Source organism: Homo sapiens, chromosome 4, assembly GCF_000001405.40.
Source record: "Homo sapiens chromosome 4, GRCh38.p14 Primary Assembly".
NCBI lineage: Eukaryota > Metazoa > Chordata > Mammalia > Primates > Hominidae > Homo > Homo sapiens.
In genome coordinates, this window is record NC_000004.12 from 95785949 (window position 1) to 95799753 (window position 13805).

The 13805-nt window shown below is 38.9% G+C and overlaps 1 annotated feature.

Moving 5' to 3' along the window:
- Positions 12618-13315: an enhancer, noted in NCBI's record as "OCT4-NANOG hESC enhancer chr4:96719717-96720414 (GRCh37/hg19 assembly coordinates)". NCBI's record gives its function as "activates a minimal SCP1, AML or CMV promoter by ChIP-STARR-seq in naive and primed H9 embryonic stem cells {active_cell/tissue: H9 hESC(naive and primed)}" and the evidence as "EXISTENCE:reporter gene assay evidence [ECO:0000049][PMID:30033119]".

The following is a 13805-nucleotide window of genomic DNA, read 5'->3' on the forward strand; positions in this document are numbered from 1 at the left end:
CAAGCTTTGCCAGGATTTTTTCTGTAGTGGCAGAACTCATGAGTTTTAGAAATGAGAAATTTAATCACGTTTTTTTTTTTTAATTTGACCCCAGAGTTGTTTTTAATTTATACAGTAAGTTCTCACTTAATTGATAGATTCTTGGAAATAGTGACTTTAAGTGAAATGAAGTATAACAAAACCAATTTTACCATTGGCTAATTGATACTAAAACAAGAGTTAAATTCCCACAACATATTCCTGGTCACAAAGCATCACCAGACTCCTAAATAATGACCCAAAACATTTCTAATATGAAACATTGAAATATATGTGAGCCATACATAAAGAATGATTAACAAAAACAAGTAAGGTAATTGTTTACCTGCCTATTCTAGTTCAGGGTTATGGGTGGCCAGATCCTATCCTAGCAGCTCCTTGTATAAGGTGGGAACCAGCCCTGGCTAGGACACCATTCCATCTCAGGGTGTATTCACAAATACCCACAGTCACTCACACTGGGATTATTAGATATGCCAAGTCACCTGATGTCCATACCTTTGAGATACTTCCTTCTCTGGGTGGAAACCAGGGTACATGAAAAAAACCCATGCAGACATGGGGATACCATGTAAAGTCCACACAGACAGTAGTCCCAGCCAGGAATCTTTTCCTTTTTCTCATCAATGTTACAACAAAATGATGTTGAATGACTTGAATGACATTATTCAAGGTCTTGCTGTAATTCTAAATCATTTTAGTGGTGGCAGGATTCTTACTGAGATTCCTCTGATAGTTGTTTTTTCAGTAGTATAAGTTAATATTCATTTATTCTTAGATTGAATTGTTTAATAAAATGTGTTGAGATTCTTATACGCCAGACACTGTGTTAAGCAGAGTAGGTATAACAGAGGAACATGTGAACAATTTAGGGAGAAATTAATGAATCAGTAGGAGATAAAAAAGTTTCTGTAGAGGAAACTACGCTTTGTAGCTGATGCGAATAAATGATTAGAAGTAAAAAAATAATAATTTATATGAGTCTATTTAGCACTTAGAACCTGAATCTTGTGAAAAAAATATTTCTTATTATTTCCTAAAGGAAAATGAAGGCTTTTCCTCACAAAACCAAGAAGGACGTCTACATGCTAAAGCAGAATGGTTCTGCTTGAAAGGGTGGGAAATATCTTGCCTACTTGCCCTTTTCCGTTTTTCCAGAATTTCTCCTGTGCCATCTGTTAAGAGCTCTAGGGAAGATCTCTACTGGCTACCAACCCTGGATACCATATATGATATGTTTCTATATCCTGCCTTAATTTCCTTAATGGTGAAGATTTATGTCAGTCAGTGTTCAACACAATTTAGTAGCTATGAGAGCAGGAGAATAACTGGTCCAAGTTTTGACTCTTCTTGAACTTGCTGCAATTTTTCCATTCGATCAATATAAGGAAATCATGATTAATGCGTAATGTTTCATTTAATATACATAAGTGGGAAAAATGTTGACCTCTGATGACTGGTTACAAATGACTCGAAGAAAACAAAAATCAATAAAGAAATTAGCTAAATCGATAAAGAAATTAGCTAACCTTGAGTTAACTCCCAATATTTTACTTATTTGCTTTACTCTCAATCTTTTTGTTCTTGGCATATTTACTTATGACCTAAATAGCCAAGATCTTTTTTTTTTTTTTTTTATTTTTTGAGACGGAGTCTCGCTGCTCTGTCACCCAGGCTGGAGTACAGTGGTGTGGTCTCGGCTCACTGCAAGCTACACCTCTCAGGTTCATGCCATTCTCCTGCCTCAGCCTCCCGAGTAGCTGGGACTGCAGGCACCCACCACCACGCCTGGCTAATTTTTAGTATTTTTAGTAGAGATGGGGTTTCACTGTGTTAGCCAGGATGGTCTTGATCTCCTGACCTTGTGATCTGCCTGCCTTGGCTCCCAAAGTGCGGGGATTACAGGCATGAGCCACCATGCCCGGCCAGTAACCAAGATCTTTTCTACATGCATTTATCTCTCCAACTTAGCCTCTCAATCACAATTCCTGCCTGTAGGCATTCGATGAATATAAATCCTACCCAACTCAGAGTCCTCAATAGCACATTTCTTAGGTATTACTCTTTTTCTGTCTTTCCTCCCTCTCATTTATTGAGCAAATATCTTATCCTAAACAAAGGGCTAAACATTTAATATTCATTGTCACATGCAATATGTTCAATATCTCTTTGAAGTAGGTCAGATCAGACAAAGATGAAGATCAGATGAAGCTTTTAGACTTTTGTGTGGCCTAATATTAGGCCTAATAGTTAATCCATCGCAGAACCAGAATTAAAGCTAAATCTACTTGAATCTAAAGTTATATGAGAGACAATTAATTGCTCCCCAATATCCGACCTTCCTTTCTCTATGATAATGAAAGTTTCATATAAGCAACTGTATGAACTGCTTTCTTTGCTCCAAGAAGAGGCCACATGACTAGGTTCCACTTGATGGACATGGTGGTACAACTTCTGGGCCAAGAGCATATTGAGAAAGAAAGTGCTTTCCCTTATTGCTTTCTCCTTTGCCACTAGCTGGAATACAGTCATCACGGAGGGAGCCATCAAAGGCCACTTGGACCTTGAGATCAAAGCTGAGTGTTCAGGATGGCAGAAGGGTAAGTCAGGAGATAAGCCAGGTTCTCAGCTCTATCAGGTTGCCATATAAGTGATGGACTCCCTATCCAGAGTGAACACAGCATTTCTGGTTCGCTTACAGCAACATAACATTTATCCTAACAAAGCATACCATGCTCTAGGACTCAATTAGAAAGTAAGAAGAGGCAATATGAAACAGAAAGCATGTAGTAGTCATCTTTAAGGGGGTCACTGAAATAGTTTGAGATTGTTTGATAATTGTATGTAGTGAGAAGAAAGGGAGGGAGAAAAGGAACCCAAGTTGGGGAACATTCATGATTACCAATAATAATGGCCTTCACAGCAGTATTGACAATTCCACTCTGGGTGAGTGAGTGAGGATTTAAAAAGCAATATGAAATGTCCAAAAGAATTTTCATTCAAGGAATGATGGTAATGTATAACATGTAATGAGACTAAGAGCAATCTGCCTAGAAAAAAAGAAACAATGAGAATAGTCCAGAATGCAGGAATGAAATGAATTAGGTAGGAAAAATCTGAGAAAATATCCTATACAGCCCATTTTCTCAGAGCCTGTTACGTCGTCTCTGGGTCTGTTGCAAATACCTTTTATTTGTCAACTGTTTAGATGAAATCAATTTTAATGAATGTGTTCCTTATTTTCTCACCGACTAATAATTTGGTTAATGATTTCCTTTTTATATGAATATTAACAGTTGCCTTGTTTTTAATGCTTTAACATTTTTCAAAGAAGCTATAACTCTTCAGCATTCGGCATTTTATTGACTTCGGAATGCAACTCTCTTCACTTAAATTATATTTTGGGGAGATTTATTATCATTTTGAAATATTGAGCAGGAAATTTTAAAAGTAGGACAACTATATTTGGTATCCAATACAACTAGTAACGATCAACTGAATTAATGTGTTTTCTAGTTAATGTGCTTTCTAGACTTATAGCAGATCTGATCTAACACCATTAAATTCACTCAAGAATCAAAAACATGGTTGACATCTAAGCCATAGAATTTTTTTAAATGGTGGGAAGTAAATCCAGTAAAGACAGAAAAATGATTGACTTGTTATAATTAACCATCGATCATACTGGAGGGGTATGAGTAAATTGGGCATTCCCTTAGATGAAGGGTTTTCCTCCTTATTAGGAATTCAGACAATGAAATATTATTTCTCTGAGGTTTTTGCTAAGATTGCTTATGCTGTTTTCTTCTCAGATTAAATATCATATGAAACACAGTAATTCAATTATTTGGACTCTACAATAATTTTAAAGGGATGATGTTATTTGAAATACTATAATAATCTGGGGAGGGGAAAAGCATCAAATGCATCAGTTATTTAACTGAAATTACAGAGTCAAACTCTGTAAAACATTTGAAGAGATTTATTCTGAGCCAAATATGAGTGACCATGGCCTGCAACACAGCCCTCCGGAGGTACCCATGTGCCCAAGATATTTGGGGAGAAGCTTGGTTTTATACGTTTTAGGAAGGCATGAGACATCAATCAAATACATTTGAGAAATACATTGGTTTGGTCCAGAAAGGTGGGACAATTCAAAGTGGGGCAGCGGAGGTGAGATGGGGAGGTGTTTCCAGGCTATAGGTAAATTTCAACATTTTCTGATTTACAGTTGGTTCAATTGATTGAGTCTGTCTGAAGACCTGGGATTAATAGAAAGGAAAAGTTCAGGTTAAGATAAAAGAATGTGGAGGTCAAGTTCTTTGGAAGTCTCATAATGGCTGCCCTTAGAGACAATAGATGACACGTTTCCTATTCAGACCTTTAAAATGTGCTAGACTCTCAGTTAATCTCTTCAGGATTGAGAGGGCCTAGAAGAAAAAGATCTCACTATGTAAATAAAGATTCTTTACAGATGCAAATTCTTCCCTACAAAAGACAGCTTTGCAGGGCCATTTCAAAATATGGCAAAGAAACACGTTGTGGAGTAAAATATTTTGATTTTCTTTTTGTCATGTAATGTTATGTCAGAGTTAGGTTAGAAAGTAAGTCATGATATATAGGGTTAAATAAAACCCATCTAATGAGAATTTATGGTTTGCAGGGCATGACTCTCCAGACCCCTAAGATAGGAATTTGGGCAAGATAAAAAAAAAAAAAAAAGAAAAAAAAAACGTTGCTTAGTCCTCAGTTTCCTTGTTTTCTTTTGCCCTCAAGTTTTGGAAGTAATCAATTCCAATGAAAATTCTTTGAAAACTTCCCAACTCATCAAAAATAACAAGCTGTCTTTATAAAACATAGATGCTGAGGACAGTTTGACTATGGGGGAAAGATCCTTCAGGTATGGGGTCAAGAGACCATATTTTGTAGGGTGGCAAATTACATTTTCCAAAAATGAATTCATCAATATATATTCCATTCCACATTTTCTTCTTCCAATGTGACCAAAATGCTCCTCTGTTGAGAGACAGAATCTATGATTCCCTACTTGAAACACAGTAGGAAAGACTTTTGTAACTTCTTCAGTCAATAGCATGCAGTAGAAATGATGCTGCATGACTTTCAGGTCCCAGTCTTAAAAGGCAACAAAACTCCCACCTGGCTTTCTCTCTCTCAGACACATGCCACCATGTTGCAAAGAAGCTCAGGCTGGATGGAGAGGCCACATGTGGGTATTCTGGCTGATAGCACCAGGTAGGCCTGGAACCTAGAGTCAATACTAACTATCAGACATGCAGTGAATTCAAAAAATTAGATTCCAATGCCAAGACTTTAAGTCTTTTAGCTGATGAGGAGGCAAAATTTCCTCCCCAACCTCTCAACTGACCCAAAGAAATTATGAGTGAAAATTGGCAGTTCCAAGATGGCCAAATAGGAACAGCTCCAGTCTACAGCTCCCAGCATGAGCGACACAGAAGATGGGTGATTTCTGCATTTCCAACTGAGGTACTGGGTTCATCTCACTGGGGCTTGTCAGACAGTGGATGCAGTTCACCGAACATGAGCTGAAGCAGGGTGAGGCATTGCCTCACCCGGGAAGCGCAAGGGGTCAGGGAATTCCCTTTCACAGCCAAGCAAAGCTGTGACAGACGGCAGCTGGAAAATCGGGTCACTCCCAACCTAATACTGTGATTTTCCAATGGTCTTAGCAAATGGCACAGCAGGAGATTATATCCTGCACCTGGCTCGGATGGCCCTATGCCCACGGAGCCTTGCTCATTGCCAGGACAGCAGTCTGAGATTGAACTGCAAGGTGGCAGCGAGGCTGGGGGCAGGGCACCCACCAATGCTGAGGCTTGGGTAGGTAAACAAAGTGGCCAGGAAGCTCGAACTGGGTGGACCCCACCGCAGCTCAAGGAGGCCTGCCAGCCTCTGTAGACTCCACCTCTGGGGGCAGACCATAGCCAAACAAAAGGCAGCAGAAACCTCTGCAGACTTAAATGTCCCTGTCTGACAGCTTTGAAGAGAGTAGTGGTTCTCCCAGCCCCCTTTGAGATCTGAGAACGGACAGACTGCCTCCTCAAGTGGGTCCCTGAACCCCGAGTAGCCTATCTTGGAGGCACCCCCCAGTAGGGGCAGACTGACACCTCACACGGCCGGGTACCCCTCTGAACGAAACATGCAGAGGAACGATCAGATAGCAACATTTGCTGTTCAGCAATATCTGCTGTTCTGCAGCCTCCGCTGCTGATACCCAGGCAAACAGGGTCTGGAGTGGACCTCCAGCAAACTCCAACAGACCTGCCACTGAGGGTCCTGACTGTTAAAAGGAAAACTAACAAACAGAAAGGACATCCACAGCAAAACCCCATCTGTACGTCACTATCATCAAAGATGAAAGGTAGATAAAACCACAAAGACGGGGAAAAAACAACAGAAAAACTGAAAATTCTAAAAATCAGAGTGCCTCTCCTCCTCCAAAGGAACGCAGCCCCTTGCCAGCAGTGGAACAAAGCTGGACGGAGAATAACTTTGACACGTTGAGAGAAGAAGGCTTCAAATGATCAAACTTCTCCCAGCTAAAGGAGGAAGTTCGAACCCATTGCAAAGAAGTTAAAACCTCGAAAAAAGATTAGACGAATGGCTAACTAGAATAACCAATGAAGAGAAGTCCTTAAAGGACATGATGGAGCTGAAAACCTTGGCATGAGAACTACAGGACAAATGCATAAGAACCAGTAGCTGATTTGATCAACTGGAAGAAAGGGTATCAGTGATGGAAGATCAAATGAATGAAATGAAATGAGAAGAGAAGCTTAGAGAAAAAAGAATAAAAAATGAACAAAGCCTCGAAGAAATATGGGACTATGTGAAAAGACCAAATCTATGTCTGATTGGTGTACCTGAAAGTGACGGGGAGAATGGAACCAAGTTGGAAAACACTCTGCAGGATATTATACAGGGGAACTTCCCCAATCTAGCAAGGCAGGCCAACATTCAAATTCAGGAAATACACAGAATGCCACAGAGATACTCCTCGAGAAGAGTAACTCCAAGACACATAATTGTCAGATTCACCAAAGTTGAAATGAAGGAAAAAAATGTTAAGGACAGCCAGAGAGAAAGGTCAGGTTACTCACAAAGGGAAGCCCATCAGACTAACAGTGGATCTCTTAGCAGAAACTCTACAAGCCAGAAGAGAGTGGGGGTCAATATTCAACATTCTTAAAGAAAAGAATGTTCAACCCAGAATTTCATATCCAGCCAAACTAAGCATCATAAGTGAAGGAGAAATAAAATCCTTTGCAGACAAGCAAATGCTGAGAGATTTTGTCACCACCAGGCCTGCCCTACAAGAGCTCCTGAAGGAAACACTAAACATGGAAAGGAACAACCGGTCCAAGCCACTGCAAAAACATGCCAAACTGTAAAGACCATTGAGGCTAGGAAGAAACTGCATCAACTAATGAGCAAAATAACCAGCTAACATCATAATGACAGGATCAAATTCACACATAACAATATTAACCTTAAATGTAAATAGGCTAAATGCTCCAATTAAAAGACACATATTGGCAAATTGGATAAGGAGTCAAGACTCATCAGTGTGCTGTATTCAGGAAACCCATCTCACATGCAGAGACACACACAGGTTCAAAATAAAGGGATGGAGGAAGATCTACCAAGCAAATGGAAAACAAAAAAAGGCAGGGGTTGCAATCCTAGTCTCTGATAAAACACACTTTAAACCAACAAATATCAAAAGAGACAAAGAAGGCCATTACATAATGGTAAAGGGATCAATTCAACAAGAAGAGCTAACTGTCCTAAATGTATATGCACCCAATATAGGAGCACCCAGATTCATAAAGCAAGTCCTTAGAGACCTATGAAGAGACTTAGACTCCCTCACAATAATAATGGGAGACTTTAACACCCCACTGTCAACATTAGACAGATCAACGAGACAGAAAGTTAACAAGGATATCCAGGAATTGAACTCAGCTCTGCACTAAGCAGACCTAATAGACATCAACAGAACTCTCCACCCCAAATCAACAGAATGTACACTCTGCTCAGCACCATACCACACCTATTCCAAAACTGACCACATAGTTGGAAGTAAAGCACTCCTCAGCAAATGTAAAAGAACAGAAATTATAACAAACTGTCTCTCAGACCACAGTGCAATCAAACTAGAACTCAGGATTAAGAAACTCACTCAAAACCACTCAACTACATGGAAACTGAACAACCTGCTCCTGAATGACTACTGGGTACATAACGAAATGAAGGCAGAAATAAAGATGTTCTTTGAAACCAACGAGAACAAAGACACAACATACCAGAATCTCTGGGACACATTTAAATCAGTGTGTGAGGGAAATTTATAGCACTAAATGCCCACAAGAGAAAGCAGGAAAGATCTAAAATTGACACCCTAACATCAAAATTAGAAGAACTAGAGAAGCAAGAGCAAACACATTCAAAAGCCAGCAGAAGGCAGGAAATAACTAAGATCAGAGCAGAACTAAAGGAGATAGAGACACAAAAAACCCTTCAAAAAATCCATGAATCCAGGAGCTGGTTTTTTGAAAAGATCAACAAAATTGATAGACTGCTAGCTAGACAGTCTATCAAAGAAGAAAAGAGAGAAGAATCAAATAGACGCAATAAAAAATGATAAAGGGGATATCACCACTGATCCCACAGAAATACAAACTACCATCAGAGAATACTATAAACACCTCTATGCAAATAAACTAGAAAATCTAGAAGAAATGGATAAATTCCTCGACATACACACCCTCCCAAGACTGAACCAAGAAGAAGTTGAATCTCTGAATAGACCAATAACAGGCTCTGAAACTGAGGCAATAATTAATAGCTTACCAACTAACAAAAGTCCAGGACCAGATGGATTCACAGCTGAATTCTACGAGAGGTACAAGGAGGAGCTGATACCATTCCTTCTGAAACTATTCCAATCAATAGCAAAAGAGGGAATCCTCCCTAACTCATTTTATGAGGCCAGCATCATCCTGATACCAAAGTCTGGCAGAGACACACACACAAAAAAGAATTTTAGACCAATATCCATGATGAACGTCGATGCAAAAATCCTCAATAAAATACTGGCAAACCAAATCCAGCAGCACATCAAAAAGTTTATCCACCATGATCAAGTGGGCTTCATCCCTGGGATGCAAGGCTGGTTCAATATACGCAAATCAATAAATGTAATCCAGCATATAAACAGAACCAAAGACAAAAACCACATGATTATCTCAATAGATGCAGTAAAGGCCTTTGACAAAATTCAACAGCCCTTCATGCTAAAAATTCTCAATAAATTTGGTATTGATGGGACGTATCTCAAAATAATAAGAGCTATCTATGACAAACCCACAGCCAATATCATACTGAATGGGCAAAAAATGGAAGCATTCCCTTTGAAAACTGGCACAAGACAGGGATGCCCTCTCTCACCACTCCTATTCAACATAGTGTTGGAAATCTGGCCAGGGCAATCAGGCAGGAGAAAGAAATAAAGGGTATTCAATTAGGAAAAGAGGAAGTCAAATTGTTCCTGTTTGCAGATGACATGATTGTATATCTAGAAAGCCCCATCGTCTCAGCCCAAATCTCATTAAGCTGATAAGCAACTTCAGCAAAGTCTCAGGACACAAAATCAATGTGCAAAAATCACAAGCATTCTTATACACCAATAACAGACAAACAGAGAGCCAAATCATGAGTGAACTCCCATTCACAATTGCTTCAAAGAGAATAAAATACCTAGGAATCCAACTTACAAGGGATGTGAACGACCTCTTCAAGGAAAACTACAAACCACTACTCAACGAAATAGAAGAGGACACAAACAAATGGAAGAACATTCCATGCTCATGGATAGGAAGAATCAATATCATGAAAATGGCCATACTGCCCAAGGTCATTTATAGATTCGATGCCATCCCCATCAAGCTACCAATGACTTTCTTCACAGAATTGGAAAAAACTACTTTAAAGTTCATATGGAACCAAAAAACAGCCCATATTGCCAAGTAAATCCTAAGCCAAAAGAACAAAGCTGGAGGCATCATGCTACCTGACTTCAAACTATACTACAAGGCTACAGTAACCAAAACAGCATGGTACTAGTACCAAAACAGATATAGAGACCAATGGAACAGAACAGAGCCCTCAGAAATAATACCACACATCTATAACTATCTGATCTTTGACAAACCTGACAAAAACAAGCAATGGGGAAAGGATTTCCTATTTCATAAATGGTGCTGGGAAAACTGGCTAGCCATATGTAGAAAGCTGAAACTGGATCCCTTCCTTACACCTTATACAAACAGTAATTCAAGATGGATTAAAGACTTCAATGTTAGACCTAAAACCATAAAAACCCTAGAAGAAAACCTAGGCAATACCATTCAGGACATAGGCATGGGCAAGGACTTCATGTCTAAAACACGAAAAGCAATGGCAACAGAAGCCAAAATTTATAAATGGGATCTAATTAAACTAAAGAGCTTCTGCACAGCAAAAGAAACTACCATCAGAGTGAACAGGCAACCTACAGAATGGGAGAAAATTTTTGCAATCTACCCATCTGACAAAGGGCTAATATCCAGAATCTACAAAGAACCCAAACAAATTTACAAGAAAAAAACAGCCCCGTCAAAAAGTGGATGAAGGATATGAACAGATACTTCTCAAAAGAAGACATTTATCTAGCCAACAGACACAGGACCATCACTGACCATCAGAGAAATGCAAATCAAAACCACAAAGAGATATCATCTCACACCAGTTAGAATGGTGATCACTAAAAAGTCAGGAAACAACAGGTGCTGGAGAGGATGTGGAGAAATAGGAACACTTTTACACTGTTGGTGGGACTGTAAACCAGTTCAGCCATTGTGGAAGACAGTGTGGCGATTCCTCGAGGATCTAGAACTAGAAATACCATTTGACCCAGTCATCCCATTATTGGGTATATACCCAAAGGAATATAAATCATGCTGCTATAAAGACACATGCACACCTATGTTTATTGTGGCACTGCTCATAATAGCAAAGACTTGGAACCAACCCAAATGTCCAACAATGATAGACTGTATTAAGAAAATGTGGCACATACACACCATGGAATACTATGAAGCCATAAAAATGATGAGTTCATGTCCATTGTAGGGACATGGATGAAGCTGGAAACCATCATTCTCAGCAAACTAATGCAAGGGCAAAAAACCAAACACCGCATGTTCTCACTTATAGGTGGGAATTGAACAATGAGAACACTTGGATACAGGAAGGGGAACATCACACATGGGGGACTCTTGTGGGGTGGGGGGAAGGGGGAGGGATAGCATTAGGAGATACACCTAATGTAAATGACGAGTTAATGGGTGCAGCACACCAACATGGCACATGTATACATATGTAACGAAACTGCACGTTGTGCACAGGTACCATAGAACTTAAAATAAACAATACATAAAAAATAAAAATGAAATTATGAGTGAAAATAAGTAATTATTAATGCTTTAAGCCACCTAATATTTTAGCTAATTTGATATGTAGCAATAGCTAACTAATAGATGTGGTAATCAGGCACTTATGGCTACCAACCATGGCTAGTAATAAATTTAGAGGACACCTTGATTTATCTTCTGGTTTTAGAATGGCAATGATAACTCTTCTGGCAGTTCCCAAACAATCATTGTGTTTGTTTGTTTGATTGTTTTTTAAGTTTTAGCTTCTTGAATAAATTTTTAAAATCCAGACTAATATTTTCCTTAAATTATTTGTAGTAGATACAAAAGTTACTGAACCAAAAGTAAATCTGAAGCTATTATTAAGAAATTTATAGTGAGTGATTTGGCGAGAATGTCAGATATCATATTTTTAACACAAATTTTTGTTTTAAGTTCAATCATTTCACTGACCACATTATCTGATCTTTTAGTTTGATATACTTGTATGTATTAGCCTCCAAAATTATGTCTCAGAAAAATAAAATCACATTAAAGAAATGTGTTTTTCTCTAATTATTTTTAAATTGTTTCTATAACATGAGCATGTACGCTTTATTTCGAAAGGAACTAAGCATTGTTGTGGGTGGCAGATGGACAGAAGTGGTAGGTGTGGTTCTGTTTTTAGGCTGAGAGCAGATGCAGCACTGGGGTGTGAATTGTTCTCCCCTTCACAGGCCTGGCTCTGAACATCCTGTGGAACTGTTCTGCCTCAGGGGATTCCCCCACTGTTGGCTTTCCACTGGGGCTTCCAAAAATAGACATTTATTTTAGACATTTAAAGACTTCTGATTCCCCAGGAATTGAAGTTAGACCCCCAATTCATACAGCTGTATGCTTAAAGGCTGAGAAGTCAGTGGCTACTTTCTCTGTATGCATTTTCTTTATCCAGTTGTGATGGGGAAATTTGAATTGAGGAGTCTCTTGTCTCCCTGAACTATTAAAAACCTCATTTCCTTTACAGTAGGGCATGACATCTAATGTGCCATGTTTTCTGACGAGGCATATATTTTCATTTCAGTAAATACTAACGACATTTTGAAAAAATAAAGAATGTGTTTTCAGTGGCTTAGAGACATAACCTAGCCATGGTATGGCTGATTAGTCTTTTACTTTTATAGATTCAAATTCGAGCATTTAATCCATTTGTATCTCTAGTCTATGTTTTCATTAGGCCCCATAAGGCCTCTGTAGAGAAGCATTTAATGATTTAATGTCTCATCAGTATTTGGTGCCCTTTCTTCTCTATTGGGCAGCATGCCTCAGCCTGTAGGCTTTCTTATGCAGCTATGGCCCACATCGTCTCTTGTTTGGCATGCTGAAAGTGCAGAGGAATTGATACCTCTGTCAGCAACCCTCAACCAATGACTGATAAGAGCTGATATACTATTACCCCACCTTCCTGGCTCCCTGGAGAGTTTTACTCTGATGTTATGTATTTTCCATTGGCTCTCAAGTGTCCCTTTGAAGATTAAGTTTAGTCACCTGCGGTGATGGCTGGCTAGATAATGTAGCCCTTTATTAATTGTTTTCCCTTCCTTCTTTCACATCCCTTTATTCCTTTTTTCTTGTGGGTGTTCCCTTCGCCCCTCAAATGAACCACTTGCCCTGAATCCTTGTCTCAGGGTCGGCTGTTGGAAGAAAGCAAAGTATGACATGGGTCATTCTATTATTTGGTTAATTTCAATTTCTTTAATTTCTGTACCTGATTTCTTTTTAAATATATATCTTGTTTTAATAGCTTCTTTATTTTTCTGGTCAACAAGCCCAGTAACATTTACGGGTGTTGTAAGAGACAAAAGGTAGTATCTTTCCTTACCCATTGCAAGGCTCGTGGCTGAGGCATCAATAATAAAAAAACAGAGTAATAAAAGGAAAGCATACAAATTTATTTAATATAAGTTATATGACACGGGAGCCTTCAGCAATGAAGACCACCCAAAAAAGGGAAAATTGTGTATTTTTATGCTTAGGTTTCATGAAGAGCAGACAGCTGTGTACAAGTGATTGGATAAAATAGGGTATAATCTAATGGTAATAACTTGGAGAGGGGAGGACTTAGCAAGGTCTGTTTGTTCAGATTCTTCTCTGTGTTCCTGTGTCTTCATTCCTTTCCTCTGACTATAGGAATGGGCCCCTCTGGAAAAAGGTCTTGTGACCTATTTTATTTTATGTATTTATACTTTTTATTTTCCATTTGCAATACTGTTTATG